Source organism: Homo sapiens, chromosome 11 (assembly GCF_000001405.40).
Source record: "Homo sapiens chromosome 11, GRCh38.p14 Primary Assembly".
NCBI lineage: Eukaryota > Metazoa > Chordata > Mammalia > Primates > Hominidae > Homo > Homo sapiens.
In genome coordinates this window covers 108,582,286-108,595,420 of record NC_000011.10, presented here as the reverse complement: position 1 = coordinate 108,595,420, position 13,135 = coordinate 108,582,286, and the positions used below count along the sequence as shown (strand labels likewise).

The 13,135-nt window shown below is 41.7% G+C and overlaps 1 protein-coding gene across 11 annotated transcripts in view, besides 3 other annotated features; it reads left to right on the top strand.

The window, feature by feature from the left end:
• EXPH5 (exophilin 5) overlaps positions 1-13,135 on the top strand; it is a 102,102-nt gene that overhangs the window by 12,116 nt on the left and 76,851 nt on the right. For 5 of the 11 annotated variants that reach the window (NM_001441059.1, NM_015065.3, NM_001441075.1 and 2 more), the window contains exon 1: positions 1,653-2,003. In NM_001441059.1, the coding sequence (NP_001427988.1) occupies positions 1,885-2,003 (119 nt within the window). In that variant the 5' untranslated portion in view covers positions 1,653-1,884. Of the gene's footprint in view, positions 1-1,652; positions 2,004-13,135 lie in introns of those variants that run through there. The other 6 variants (NM_001441060.1, NM_001308019.2, NM_001441070.1 and 3 more) reach the window with 2 other exon arrangements.
• Positions 1,467-1,766: a silencer, noted in NCBI's record as "silent region_3881". NCBI's record gives its function as "represses an Ori minimal core promoter by ATAC-STARR-seq in GM12878 lymphoblastoid cells {active_cell/tissue: GM12878}" and the evidence as "EXISTENCE:reporter gene assay evidence [ECO:0000049][PMID:35858748]".
• Positions 1,787-1,836: a silencer, noted in NCBI's record as "silent region_3880". NCBI's record gives its function as "represses an Ori minimal core promoter by ATAC-STARR-seq in GM12878 lymphoblastoid cells {active_cell/tissue: GM12878}" and the evidence as "EXISTENCE:reporter gene assay evidence [ECO:0000049][PMID:35858748]".
• Positions 2,117-2,176: a silencer, noted in NCBI's record as "silent region_3879". NCBI's record gives its function as "represses an Ori minimal core promoter by ATAC-STARR-seq in GM12878 lymphoblastoid cells {active_cell/tissue: GM12878}" and the evidence as "EXISTENCE:reporter gene assay evidence [ECO:0000049][PMID:35858748]".

The following is a 13,135-nucleotide window of genomic DNA, read 5'->3' as shown; positions in this document are numbered from 1 at the left end:
ATCTCCTCCCACCACCCCCTATTTCTTCCTCTTGAAATCTGACTCTTCATGCAGCAACCTAAATACCGTATCCTCTCTCCATCCACTCAGTTGGCACTAACTTTTCTGTGTGCTCATGGAATTTTCTTTATTCCTCTATTATGTTCTTTTTTACATAGTCATCTTTCTATTTGTGTATCTCTCCCACTGGATTACAAACTTTCTAAAGACAAGGACTGTGTTGTTCACAGTGTGTGATGCCTTCATGTAATAGGCACCAGGATACGTTGGTTGAAATCAGTTCACTGATATACTGGAAACAGTGTAAAATCCCACCAGTGACCATATTGAAAAGTCCCATGTGTATGCTGAATAAATGAACACACTAGAAAAACTGGACACCATATACAAGACATACTCCCAAAACAGGATCATTAATACAGACACTATTTATAAAGGAGTTCTGTATTGTGTACACCATGGGTGAACAAAATTGGTTCCTGGTTCACACAAATAACAGACACCCACAGAAAGTTATCTGAATGGCTAGCTGCCTAGGCATGTTTTAAATAATGATGATCAAATGGGGTAGCCCAGAGAACAAAACACAAGTGGCAATTTTTGATATCATGTTCTTGTACAGATACAAAATTTTAATTGGGTTTATGTGCCATGAAAAGAAATGATATATGTAGAAGTACATTTTATATGTTAGTAATCATCACCACCATCTTCAAAATGACCAAATTAAGGCTATGGGGCAGGAAAGTCAATCTGACAGAGTTATTTTTGGGTAGGAAGTGAAGCCAAGATAAAAACATGTTTTCTGTAAAAGCCTTGATAATTAAAAAAAAAGTATATATGTGAATATCTTTATAAGTTTCTATTATTCTTCATTGCATTGTGGAACAATTGACTTTCTAGGAAAGCTATTTCTGTGGCTTCATAGGATTACCATTTGCTTTCACCAGAGGATTAGGTATTTTTAAATGGCATGTGTATTACTTCTCTGAGTTTATTAAGATGATAATAAAATCTTACAGAAAACTTCTAACAGGTGTTTTCTACAGTCCTTTGCTTCTGGGCTGTCTTCTCCTAAAATACCATAAACGGTTTTGTTTGTTTGTTTGTTTGTTTCTAAAGTCTAAGAATGACTTTTGTGGGACAGTGGAGGTGGGGGTGTCTGTGGGATGAGAGGCTTGGCAAATAATTCGTTTCCAAGGATACACTAATTTCCGCCCTTCAGCCAGGTTCATCCACAGTCAGTAGTGTAATTGAGTTTAGTTCTTCCTGGTCTTTCAGATAAGTAACCCTTTTGCCAGTTACAAACCCTACTTGCAATTCTATTTTCTATGGGCTCTTAATTATTGAAAGGGAGGATTAGTCATGAATCTCCTTTTTCACTCCTTTACTAATCAAGCTCAAGTTCTGCGAGCAAACAGCAACAGCAAAAGCAAATACTTTGGCGCCAACACTTAGCCTTGCCTCACTTAAGAGGCAGAATTATGTAGGCTTGTTTGCTTAACAACTCAGATAGGGGGCGGGGAGGGTGACCGGAGGGGACGAGGGAGGGGACGAGGGACGGGACGAGACGAGGGAGGGGACGAGGGAGGGGACAAGGGAGGGCCCGCCCCCTTGGAACGGGATTGGTTCCCTCTCTCCCTTTAGCCGTTCACTTTGCATCTCGGTTGGACAGGTTGAGAGAAACATGTCATTAAGGTATTGTCAATATGAGCCCTTCAGGTGTGGGCGTTCCCTAGGTTTGTGGTTTTAGACTTTCAAAGGGGCGGACTTATTATTGGCTGTGGGATCAAGTTCGTGAAACTGGTCTTGTACAGGTTGAAAAATGCCTTCCTAACAGGAGGCGCCAAGGAGCTTAAGTGTAACTCACACACAGTAAAGAAAATGACGAAAGTTCCTCCGGCGTTTGATTTCAGTTTCTTAAATGACGAAGAGGCCAGGAAGATCCTTCAGGTGCTGGAAAGGAATGAGGAGTTACAGAGGGCCGAGAAGGACAGGATCAGGTACAGAGCAAATTCATTTCTTTTGTCCTGGGCCTGGGTCCCGCAGGGGCCGGGGATCCGCGGGGAAGGCGCTGAGCTCGCGCGGGGCACCTGCCCGGGGGTGCTCCGAGCGGCTGCTGCGGAGGCTGCGGGTCGGGAAGAGAAAACTGCGCGGAGTTGCTCCCTGAAGGACTTTGGGATGCTTAGTTGGTACCCTCTCCACCCACCACATACCAGACGGGCTCGGCTGCGGGTCTGGGGTCGGGCAGGGTGGGGGGGTCCGTGCGCTGCGGGGGCCGCGCAGTGACGCTGTGCTGTGCCGGGTGTCTGCTGGGCCATCGCGGGGCGTGGGCCGTTTCAGGCAATGAAATGCGGCGGGGGCGCGATCTGGAGAGGAATCCTGGCTGCTGCTCACTCCGCGGCCCGCGCGCACCCACGTGCTCGCACGGGTCCGACAGAGCTTCCACCCTCGCCTAACGCAGTTTTCCCTCGGCACCAGAGGCGAATCTCCCCACCCAATGCGGGCAGTCAGCGAAGCACGGGAGAGCCGGCACCTCACGGGAGGCGAAAGGTCCCCACCCCAAGGGTAGGAGCTCGAGGAATTTGTCAAATAGAGGCTTATGTGGGCGAATGGGACTTGGACACACGGGGTTGGCTGGAATGGGTGGGTCTTCTTGTGCGTGGTGCTGTGGGGAGCGAGTTTCTGAGAAATTTCATCCTTGACCTTACTATACACTGTTGTAGGTGAGGGATTAGTTACTAAAGAATGAAATCCAGAGACACAGATAATTACCCAGGATGTACATTAACCAGTTTTTCTGCTGGGGAAGTGTGGGATAAGTGCTGGAATGAATTAAAGGGACTCTCTCGCCAATATTGGAATATATCCATCTAAGTCCTTCTCTAGATAACTGTGGAAGGGAATTCAGGACATCACTCTCAGACCACACTGTGTGCCATTGATTGGAATTTAGCAAGTCATTTTGTTTTATGATCAACTGCTTGCTAATGCGAGTTCCAGGTTCCCAATTCTTTCTAGAATTGCCTGTCCCCCACCGCCGACAAAAGAAACCCTCCAGGGACCCTCTTCAAATTGGAAAATCTAGTTGGTCTTTGTAGAAAGAATTAGAATACACTAAGCCCAATGCCCTGACTTCACCCTTCTCCCCTAAACATGACTCTTTGAGGGATGAAGGAATATTTGAGGTTGGGGAATATGGATTTCATACCATCTGCCTTGAGAAAAAGTGGCTTTATCATTCCCCTCCCCTGAACAGTGTAGAAAGTGTGCCTTCAGGAGAACAGTATGCCACACCCACACACACCCACGTGCATAATGTACCTACACATATGCACATGCACCGCACAAGGCACACCCAACTTTCAGAAGAAGAATTTCAGAACTGCACGGAATTTCAGTGCATATTCCAAAGGCACTAAGAAACTGCGGTTATTCTCAGTGTGTGTTATTGGAAATGTTTCTTGTCTCTGAAGAGGATGGGGCTTCTTAAGTGATCCATTGTATATTTGGGGAAATTGAGGGGAGAGTTAGAAAATAACAAGGAGAGAAGCTTTCATTTAAGATGTTATCTTGACTTTTTATTTTTGACCTGATGCTTGCTTGCCTTATTGTGTTTTCTCTATTGCAACTCACGATGCCCACTGCAGTTGACTTTAGAGGGAACTGGATCTCCACATAGATCTACACAAAGCACGTGTATCTACACAAAGCCATTGGGCTGGGCATTAGAAGGAAGGTCAAAACACATTTTCTAATTTCATGGCACTCATATTCTAATGGAAGCATCAACAGAAAAAGCCATAATGCTAAGACAAAATCGATACTGTATTATACTAATTATTAAAAGTATTTAATTGCCCAAACAATTTGAAAAATATCACCATTAAAATACAAAAATCATTTAAGGAAAGTAGATGTGTGGACCAAATACCCAAGGCAATGATTTCTAGTACTGTCTTTTCCTTTGATTAATTCCCCACTTCCACTATCAAATACCCATGTCTGGCTTGCAGGCTCCATGGGATTGTTCTGCTTACCCACTTCAGGCTCACATGTATTAATTTCAGTATCAGATATTGGCATGCAGAAAGGGCCTGAGACAACATGGCAACTTGGCTGCCTCTTCTGCTCATTTTCTTGATATGTGTGATCATATTTTCCAAATCAAAAATCAGGACACATGACTTATAACTCAAGAGTATAATTTCATTCTGTTCTGGCTTGGCATATGTGAACAACAACAAAAAAGAGATGCTTCAACAGGCCTGTCTGAGAGACTCAGGGAAGCCTTTTTACTGTATTGAGAAAGAGCTTCAAGACCTCTTGACTAGAACAATAAGGGTCCAAATGGGGAAGTTTAGAAATTTAGCAGGTTGGGGAATGGCTGATGAGTTCATTTATATCTATGATAGGCTTGAGGTATCTGCAAGACAACTAAGAAGAAATACAGGCACCCTATAGTTGGGGCTGGGCCCGGTGGCTCACGCCTGTAATCCCAGTGCTTTGGGAGACTGAGGCAAAAGGATCGCTTGAGGCCAAGAGTTTGAGACCAGCCTGACCAACACAGAGAGACCATGTCTCTACAATAAAAATTAAAAATAAATTTAGCCTGATATTGTGGCACATACTTGCAGTACTAGCTACTCAGGAGGCTCAGGTGGGAGGATCCCTTGAGCTCAAGAGTTCAAGGCTGCAGTGAACTATGATTGTTCCACTCCAACCAGAGTGACACAGTAGAGACCCTGTCTTTAAAAATAAAATAAATAAAATCATTTTTTTTTAAAAAAGAACTACAGTGTCATGCAGGGCCAGAGATGTTCTGAGATAGGTGTGAGGGTAGTTGAGTTCATCATGCAGAAGGCAGCAGCCCCACCCACAGAAAAGTTCCTGAACACATAGAACTTTCTCCTGATCTCCCCTCATCTGTACCAGACCTCTCTGGCTCCAACTTACCAGGAAAGTATTTGCATTAAATATAATAGTTAATGTTTCTAATATATAGTTTATTCAGATTTTTAAGAAAAACACCAAGATTCAAACTGATAAATAGGCAAAAGATAGAAATAAATCATTCACACCAGAAGATATCCAAACAGTAAACATAACAGATGGGAAAATGTCTACCCTCACAGTAATAAATGAAAATTGAAGTAACCTTGAGATACCATGCTGCCCCTTTAAAAATGACAGAAAAAAAAATGTTGGTGAGGGTTGGAATGAAATGGACAGATTTTGCACATTGTTAGTGACGTTGTAAGTTGATTACAAGCTTTTTGGTGAGCATTATGGCAATATCTATCAAGATACGCCTTACGCTTGACCCAATTGTCCAATTCTTGGATATTTCTCATTAGTAGGAGATTAAGGTGGAGGAGATGGCCACACCAACATATATTAAGTGCTGCCTTTTTATGTAATAATAGTAATTATTGTGGTAATAACGACAGCTAACATTTATTAGGCCCTTACTATATACTAGGCACTGTACTAAACATGTTATACAGATTTAATTAATCCTCCCAATAACCTCATTAGGTATACACTTTAATTCTCATTTCACAGAGAAGGAAACAATTAAAAAAGGTCGAGTATTTTGTCCAACTTAAGCAGCAGAGCCAGAATTTATAATCCAGATCTATTTCAAAACTACTTTACCCATCAAGATTGAATAATCCTCACAACCATTTCTTGGGGTATTATTAATGGCTTTTTATAGAAGGAAAACTGAAATTTAGCAACGTTAAGGAACTTGCCTAAGGTCACACAGCTCATAAACGTCAGAGATAGAATTTGAACCTAAATCTATCTGGCATCAGAACCAGATGTTACGGTGCCTGGAGTAATCAAGTTTTTAAATGGCATGTCTAGATTTAGACCATTTTTTGCTCCATGGCAAGATTGCAGCCCAGGAGGGTTTTCCAGAATTTAGTTTTTTCTGATTGATTTACACTAATATCCTTGAGCTGTGGCACAGGTCTGAACAGGACTGTATATGTCAAAGTCATAAAGTGGTCTATAGCTGGTGGCAGCTGCCACATCCGGCAGAGGTTAAAAGCCAGATACACAAGCCTCCTGCCTCCCCTACACATTCTGCCTGCCCTCTCCTCTCCCAGCCTGTGAAATCTGCCTCTGGCTAAGGGGCAGAGTTTCTAGAGACATTGGATGTCTACTGATTGGGCTTTTTACTGTGTGCCAGACACTGGATTGGCCCTGAGAATACAGTGGAAAATAAAACACAGATTCTGTCCCAAATGGCTTCAGTCTATGAAAGGTTTTCATTGGCGATAGAATGTGTAAGATGAACTGTAGCTCGCCCTTATGCAGTCCTGTGTGGCCTGGAAAAGGGACAACAAGAACAATGCCTGGAAGTCACAAGTGTGCTCAGGAGGCTTGAGCAAGTTCTGAAACATAACAAAGTACCAGATTAACACACCACGGATCTCTGAGCTGTCTGCACTTTCCAATGGCATCCAATTTAGTTAATTCCTTTAAACTGAGGGAGAACTTCCTCTCAGATACATTTTCCTGTCTAGTTACTCCTGTGGATTTGTCCCCACAGGCAATACACACAGAACTACTATAATAATATCGTTCCATATCCCAATGCCAAGCAGCAGTGTTCTTTTTAAGCTTAGTGATATTATAACTCTTTTAGCTTATAAAGTCTTTCATATTTTTTTATCCTCATCCTCAACCTGATAAAGCAAATACTATTATCTTCTTTTCCAAAAGCTAATAAAACAACTGTAATAATAGCTAACATTTGTTGAGTATTGACCCATGCTAAGCTCTTTGTGTGCACTATCTCATTTAATTCTTACAACAACCTGATGAGTTAAGGGATATCTTTATCTCCATTCGACAAAGGAAGCTTAGAAAGGGTAAGTGACATGCTTGAGATAATACTGCTAGGGAGTGTCCGATTTGGGAACTCCATCTGTACATAATCACTGTGCTGTGCTGCCTCCTACAGTACCAAAAAGTTGAAGTGACTTTCCTCACCTGGCCCATCTAGCTCATAACAGAACCAGGACTGGGATCTATCCACTTTAAATCTCTTGCTATTTTATCTCCATTCACCATAAAAATAAAAAACACACAATTCTATGTAGTCAAATGCTCAGCTAAAAGTTGGAGATGTTATTACTAAGGAAAATGGCATAATGGGTATGGGAAGATAACTGATACCATCTGCCTATATAGAAAAAATTGCTGGCAACCATTTATGTTAAAAATGCATATATGCATTCTATAAGGAAGACTTTATACTGTTAAAATGATTATCTTTGGGGAATCACATTTAAAGGGACTTTAACCCTTTTACTACTGTTTTATTTTTTAGTTATCATATGTTATTAAAAATAGGGCCAGGTGCTGTGGCTCACGCCTGTAATCCCAGCACTTTGGGAGGCTGAGATGGGTGGATTGCCTGAGGTCAGGAGTTTGAGACCAGCCTGGCCAACACGGTGAAACCCCATCTCTACTAAAAATACAAAAATTAGCCAGGCTTGGTGGCTGGCACCTATAAGCCCAGCTACCTGGGAAGCTGAGACAGAAGAATCGCTTGAACCCAGGAGGTGGAGGTTGCAGTGAGCCGAGACCGCGCCATTGTACTCCAGCTTGGGTAACAAGAGCAAAACTCTGTCTTGAAATAAATACATAAATAAATAAATAAAACTGTTTCTTTGGATAATAAATATGGAATGTTTGACTATTTTTTACTTTCATAAATGTCCGTTACGAAGGTAAAATACTTTTTAAAAATGTCTTTTAAAAAATAAATAACTTGTAAGGGTAAATTTCTTTTTAAAAATGTCTAAATGTTTTTCTGCCCTTGTCCTTTTCTTTACAATGTTAATGTGTGCACAGGTAAGTTGGTACATGGTAAGTTGTACATCAACCTTGATTCCTTGTGGTCAAGGATTATTTCAGGGATGGAGAGCCTCACACACTTCGGTACTCAATACCTAGTCAAATGGAACTTAACTTACTGCTATAGGCAATACAAACTAAGGGAAAGAAAGATCTGAGGAAACCAGGTGAAGGGCGAAAGAAAGTCAGGTGAAGGTTAGTCAGAAAATACTTTCATTCCTCATTAGCACAGATGGTCTTAAACCTGAGAACCACATGAAGGTCAAAAGGAGGTCAGGTTAAGTTTAGTAAGGAGATATACCTAATGCTAAATGACGAGTTAATGGGTGCAGCACACCAGCATGGCACATGTATGCATATGTAACTAACCTGCACATTGTGCACATGTACCCTAAAACTTAAAGTATCGTAATAATAAAAGAAAAGAAAAGAAAATGCTTTCCTTCCTGTTTAGCACAGCAGGGTCTTAAAATTGAGAAGAAGGTGGCTAAGAACTAAGAAGTGCTAGCTAAGGCATGGTCTTTCGTAAACGTGGGTGGATTCTCTCCTTCACCTTCATTCAGGTCGGTTTTTCTGTAGTGAGTTATTCCCCAAGCTGTGAGATTTGAGAGCTATAGGCTCATCGCCCTCTCCTTCTCAGGATGTTTCCTTATTGACATTGCCAATGGCCCTATTAAAAGGCCATACTTCAAATATTAACAGATCACAGGAGCCAGCTTCCTCATTCCATGGTGTGTTAGGCTTTCTAGATGAAAGAGGAAATGGGAGATGACAGTGACCAAATTCTCTGCACCCCAACAAAAAGTTGTGTTTTTTTATATTGATAAAGCTTACCTTGGTTTTCACTTTGAAACGATGCATTTAACAGCAGTTAAGGGAGGAAAGGGGATGGGGGAGGGAGGAAAGGGGATGGGGGAGGGAGGAAAGAGGATGGGGAGGGAGGAAAGGGGATGGGGGAGGGAGGAAAGGGGGTGGGGGAGGGAGGAAAGGGGATGGGGGAGGGAGGAAAGGGGATGGGGGAGGGAGGAAAGAGGATGGGGAGGGAGGAAAGGGGATGGGGGAGGGAGGAAAGGGGATGGGGGAGGGAGGAAAGGGGATGGGGGAGGGAGGAAAGGGGATCAGGGAGGGAGTAACTTATCCTGGCAACCACTATTTTGTTCTTCAACACTACCGTTTTATTTGTTAAAGAATGTTATATAAATGGAAGCACAGAATACATAACCTTTTGAGAATGGCTTCTTTAACTCAGTAAAATGAGGGTCACACAGGTTGTCGTATGTATAAATAATTCATTCTGGCCAGGCAAGGTGGCTCACACCTGTAATCCCAACACTTCGGGAGGCCGAGGTAGGAGAATCACTTGAGGTTTCGCCATGTTGGCCAGGTTGAGAGCAGCCTGGCCAACATGGCAAAACTCTGTCTCTACTAAAAATACAAAAATTAGCCAGGCGTGGTGGCACGCGTCTGTGGTCCCAGCTACTCAGGAAGCTGAAGCAGGAGAATCACTTCAACCTGGGAGGTGGAGGTTGCAGTAAACTGAGATGGTGCCACTGCACTCCAGTATGGGCTACAGAGCAAGACTTCATCTCAAAATAAATAAATGAACAAATAAATAAATAATTCATTCCTTTATATTGCTGAGTAGTATTTAGTATTTCATTATATGGATTACTACAGTTCGTTTATCCTTTCACCCACTGAAGAACACTTGTTTTGTTTACACATTTTGATGATATTAAATAATGCTGCTATCAACATCCATGAGCAGGCTTTTGTGTGAACATGATTTTTATTAGTAGTGGAATTGCTGGATCATATTCTTGAATTTGCAAGAAACTGCCAAACTGTTTTTCCCACAGCTGTACCATTCTGCATTCCTACCAACAGTATATAAGAGTTCCAATCTCTGTCTTTGTCATTCAGGCTACTACAACAAAATACCTTAGACTGGGTAATTTATAAAGAGCAGAAATCTATTGCTTATAGTTCTAGACCCTGGGAAGTCCAAGATCAAGGCACTGGTAGAGTCTGTGTTTGGTGAAGTCCCCCTCCTCATAGAGGGTGCCTTTTCTGTGTCCTCACATGGTAGAAGGGGCAAAAAGGCTTCCTCTCAGGCCTCATGTAAAAGGGCACTGATCCATTCATGAGGGAGAAGCCCTCTCCACCTAATCACCTGCCAAAGGCCCCATCCCTTACTACCATCACCTTGAGGGGTAGGGCTCAACATATGAATTCTGGGGGGACACATACTTTCAGACAAGAGCATAGTAGTTCTTTAGTCTTGCCAGCATTTGGTATTTTGAATATTTTTTTATTTTAACCATTCTAATAGGTTTGTAGAGGTATCTCCTCATGTTTCAATTTGCATTTCCCTAGTGACTAATGATGGTAAACATCTTTTTATGTGCTTACTTGCCTTCCATATATTCTCTTTGGGGAAGTATCTGCTAAAATCTTTTGAACAGTTTTTAGTTGGGTTATTTGTTTTCTGATTGATGAATTTTGAGAATTCTTTATATATTCCAGATACAAGTCTCCTGTTGAACACCAGGTTTGCAAACATTTTCTTCCCATCTGTAGCTTGTCTTAACTTTCCTACTGTGTCTTTGTGGAGTAAAAGTTACCCAGTTTGATGAAATCCAACATATCAAACTTTTTTCTTTTATGAATCATGCTTTTAGTAGCGTTCTAAGAATACTCTGCCTCAGCCCAGATTACAAACATTTTCTCCTATGATTTCTTTTTAAAGTTTTATAGTTTTATGTCTTACACTGATGCATTTTGAAATAAGATTTATGTGCAGTGTGAGGTTTAGATTGAGGTTCATTTTATTTTTGCATATTAATGCCCAATTATCCCAACACCATTGTTGAAAGACTGTCCTTCATTAAATTGCTTTTGCCCCTTTGTAAAAAATTTGCTATATTTTTGGAGTCCATTTTTGGACTCTGCTCTTTTCCATAGACCTCTATGTCTTTTCCTTCACAAATACTATGGTATCCTGATTACTGTGGCTTTATAGTAGGTCTTAACGTCAAGTAGTATGCTTCCTCCCTTTTTTTTTTTTTGAGACAGGGTCTCTCTTTGTCGCCTAAGCTGGAGTGCGGTGGCACAATCTTGGCTCAATGCAACCTCCACCTCCTGGGTTCAAACTATTCTCAAGCCTCAACCTCCTGAGTAGTTGGGATTACAGCTGTGTGACGCCACACCTAGCTAATTTTTTTTTATTTTTAGTAGAGACAAGTTTTCGCCCTGTTGGCCAAGCTGGTGTCAAACTCCTGACCTCAGGTGATCTGCCCATCTTGGCCTCCCAAAGTGCTGGGATTATAAGTGTGAGCCACTGTGCCCAGCCAGAATGAATTATTTATACATACAACAACCTGTGTGACTCTCAAAGGTGTTTTACTGAGTTAAATAAGCCATCCGATTTTATTCTTTGTTTTTAAAACTATTTTGTCTATATCATTCCTTTGCTTTTCCATATAAATTTTTACATTTAAGTTTAAAATTGTTCATTGCTAGTATAGAGAAATACAATTGATTTTTGATATTGATCTTGTACCCTACCACTTAGCTAAACTTACTTATTGGCTCTAGGATGTTCTTTTTTGAGGGGGGCAGATTTTTCTGGGTGATTTTCTACATGGCCAATCATGTCTCCTGTAAGTGGTGATGGTTTTATTTTTTCCTTTCCAATATGTATGCCTTTTATTTCTTTTTCTTGCCTAATATTGACTAGGACTTCAAGCATGATGTTGAATAGGAGTATTGACATTGTACTTCCTTGCTTTGTTGCTGAGCACTGTCTTTCACTATGAACTACGATGTTAGCTATGATTTTTTTGTAGATGACTTTTTTATTTTTATTTTTTTGTTAATTTTTTTTAATAGAGATGGGGTTTTGCTATGTTGGCCAGACTGGTCTCCACCTCCCGGGCTCAAGTGATCCACCCGCCTCGGCCTCCCAAACTGTTGGGATTACAGGCATAAGCCACCATGCCCGGCCTGTAGATGACTTTTATCTGGTTCTATTTCTTGCTTGCTGAGAGCTTTTATTTGAACATATCTTGAATTTTATTAAATGCTTTTTCTGCATCAACTTCTATGACCATGTGGCTTTTTCTTCTATAGACTATTGATATACTTATTTATTTTTTTTTTTATTTTTTTTTTTGAGACAGAATCTCACTCTATCGCCCAGGCTGGAGTGCAGTCGTGCGATCTCAGCTCACTGCACTCGGGTTCACGCCATTCTCCTGCCTCAGCCTCCCGAATACTTGGGACTACAGGAGCCCGCCACCACGCCCGGCTAATTTTTTGTATTTTTAGTAGAGACGGGGTTTCACCTTGTTAGCTAGGATGGTCTCAATCTCCTGACCTCGTGATCTGCTCACCTTGGCCTCCCAAAGTGCTGGGATTACAGGCATGAGCCACTGCGCCTGGCGATATACTTATTAACAGTAATTGATTTTAGAATATCAAACCAGCCTTACTGTTGTGGGTTGAACTGTCCTCCAAAAAATAAAAAAGCTATGTTAGAGTCCTAATTGCCAATACCTCAGAATGTGACCTTACTTAGAAATAGGGTCTTTACAGAGAAAATCAAGTTAAAATGAGGTGATTAGGATGGGCCCTATTCTAATATTAATGATGTCCTTATACAAAGTGGAAAATTTGGACACAAAGACAGACAAGCACGCAGGGAGAATGCTTTGTGCAGACAGGAGTAACGCTGCCACAAGGCAAGGAACTACTTCAGAAGCTAGGAGAGAGGCCTGGAACAGACCCTTCCTTAGTGCCCCCAGAGGGAGCATGGCCCTGCCAGCACCTTGACCTCCAGCCTCCAAAACTGTGAAACATGTCTGTTGTTCAAGTCGCTCAATGTGCAGTACTTTATTGGGGTAGCCTGAGAAAACTAATCCACTTACATGCTCAAGAAAATCCCACTTGATCATCATGTACTATTCTTTTTATATGATTTCACTACATTTGCTAATATTGAGGGTTTTTAAAAAATCTGGGTTCATGAGAGGTACTGATATATAGTTTTCTGGTTTTCTATCCTTTTTTTTTTTTCTTTGTGACAGGGTCTCATTCTGTCACCCAGGCTGGAGTGCAGTGGCGTGATCTCAGCCCACTGCAACCTCTGCCTTCCAGGCCTGAGTAATCCTCCCACCCCAGCCTCCCTAAGTAGCTGGGACTACAGGCGTGTGCCACCACGCCCAGCTAACTTTTTTGTATTTTTAGTGGAGACAGGGTT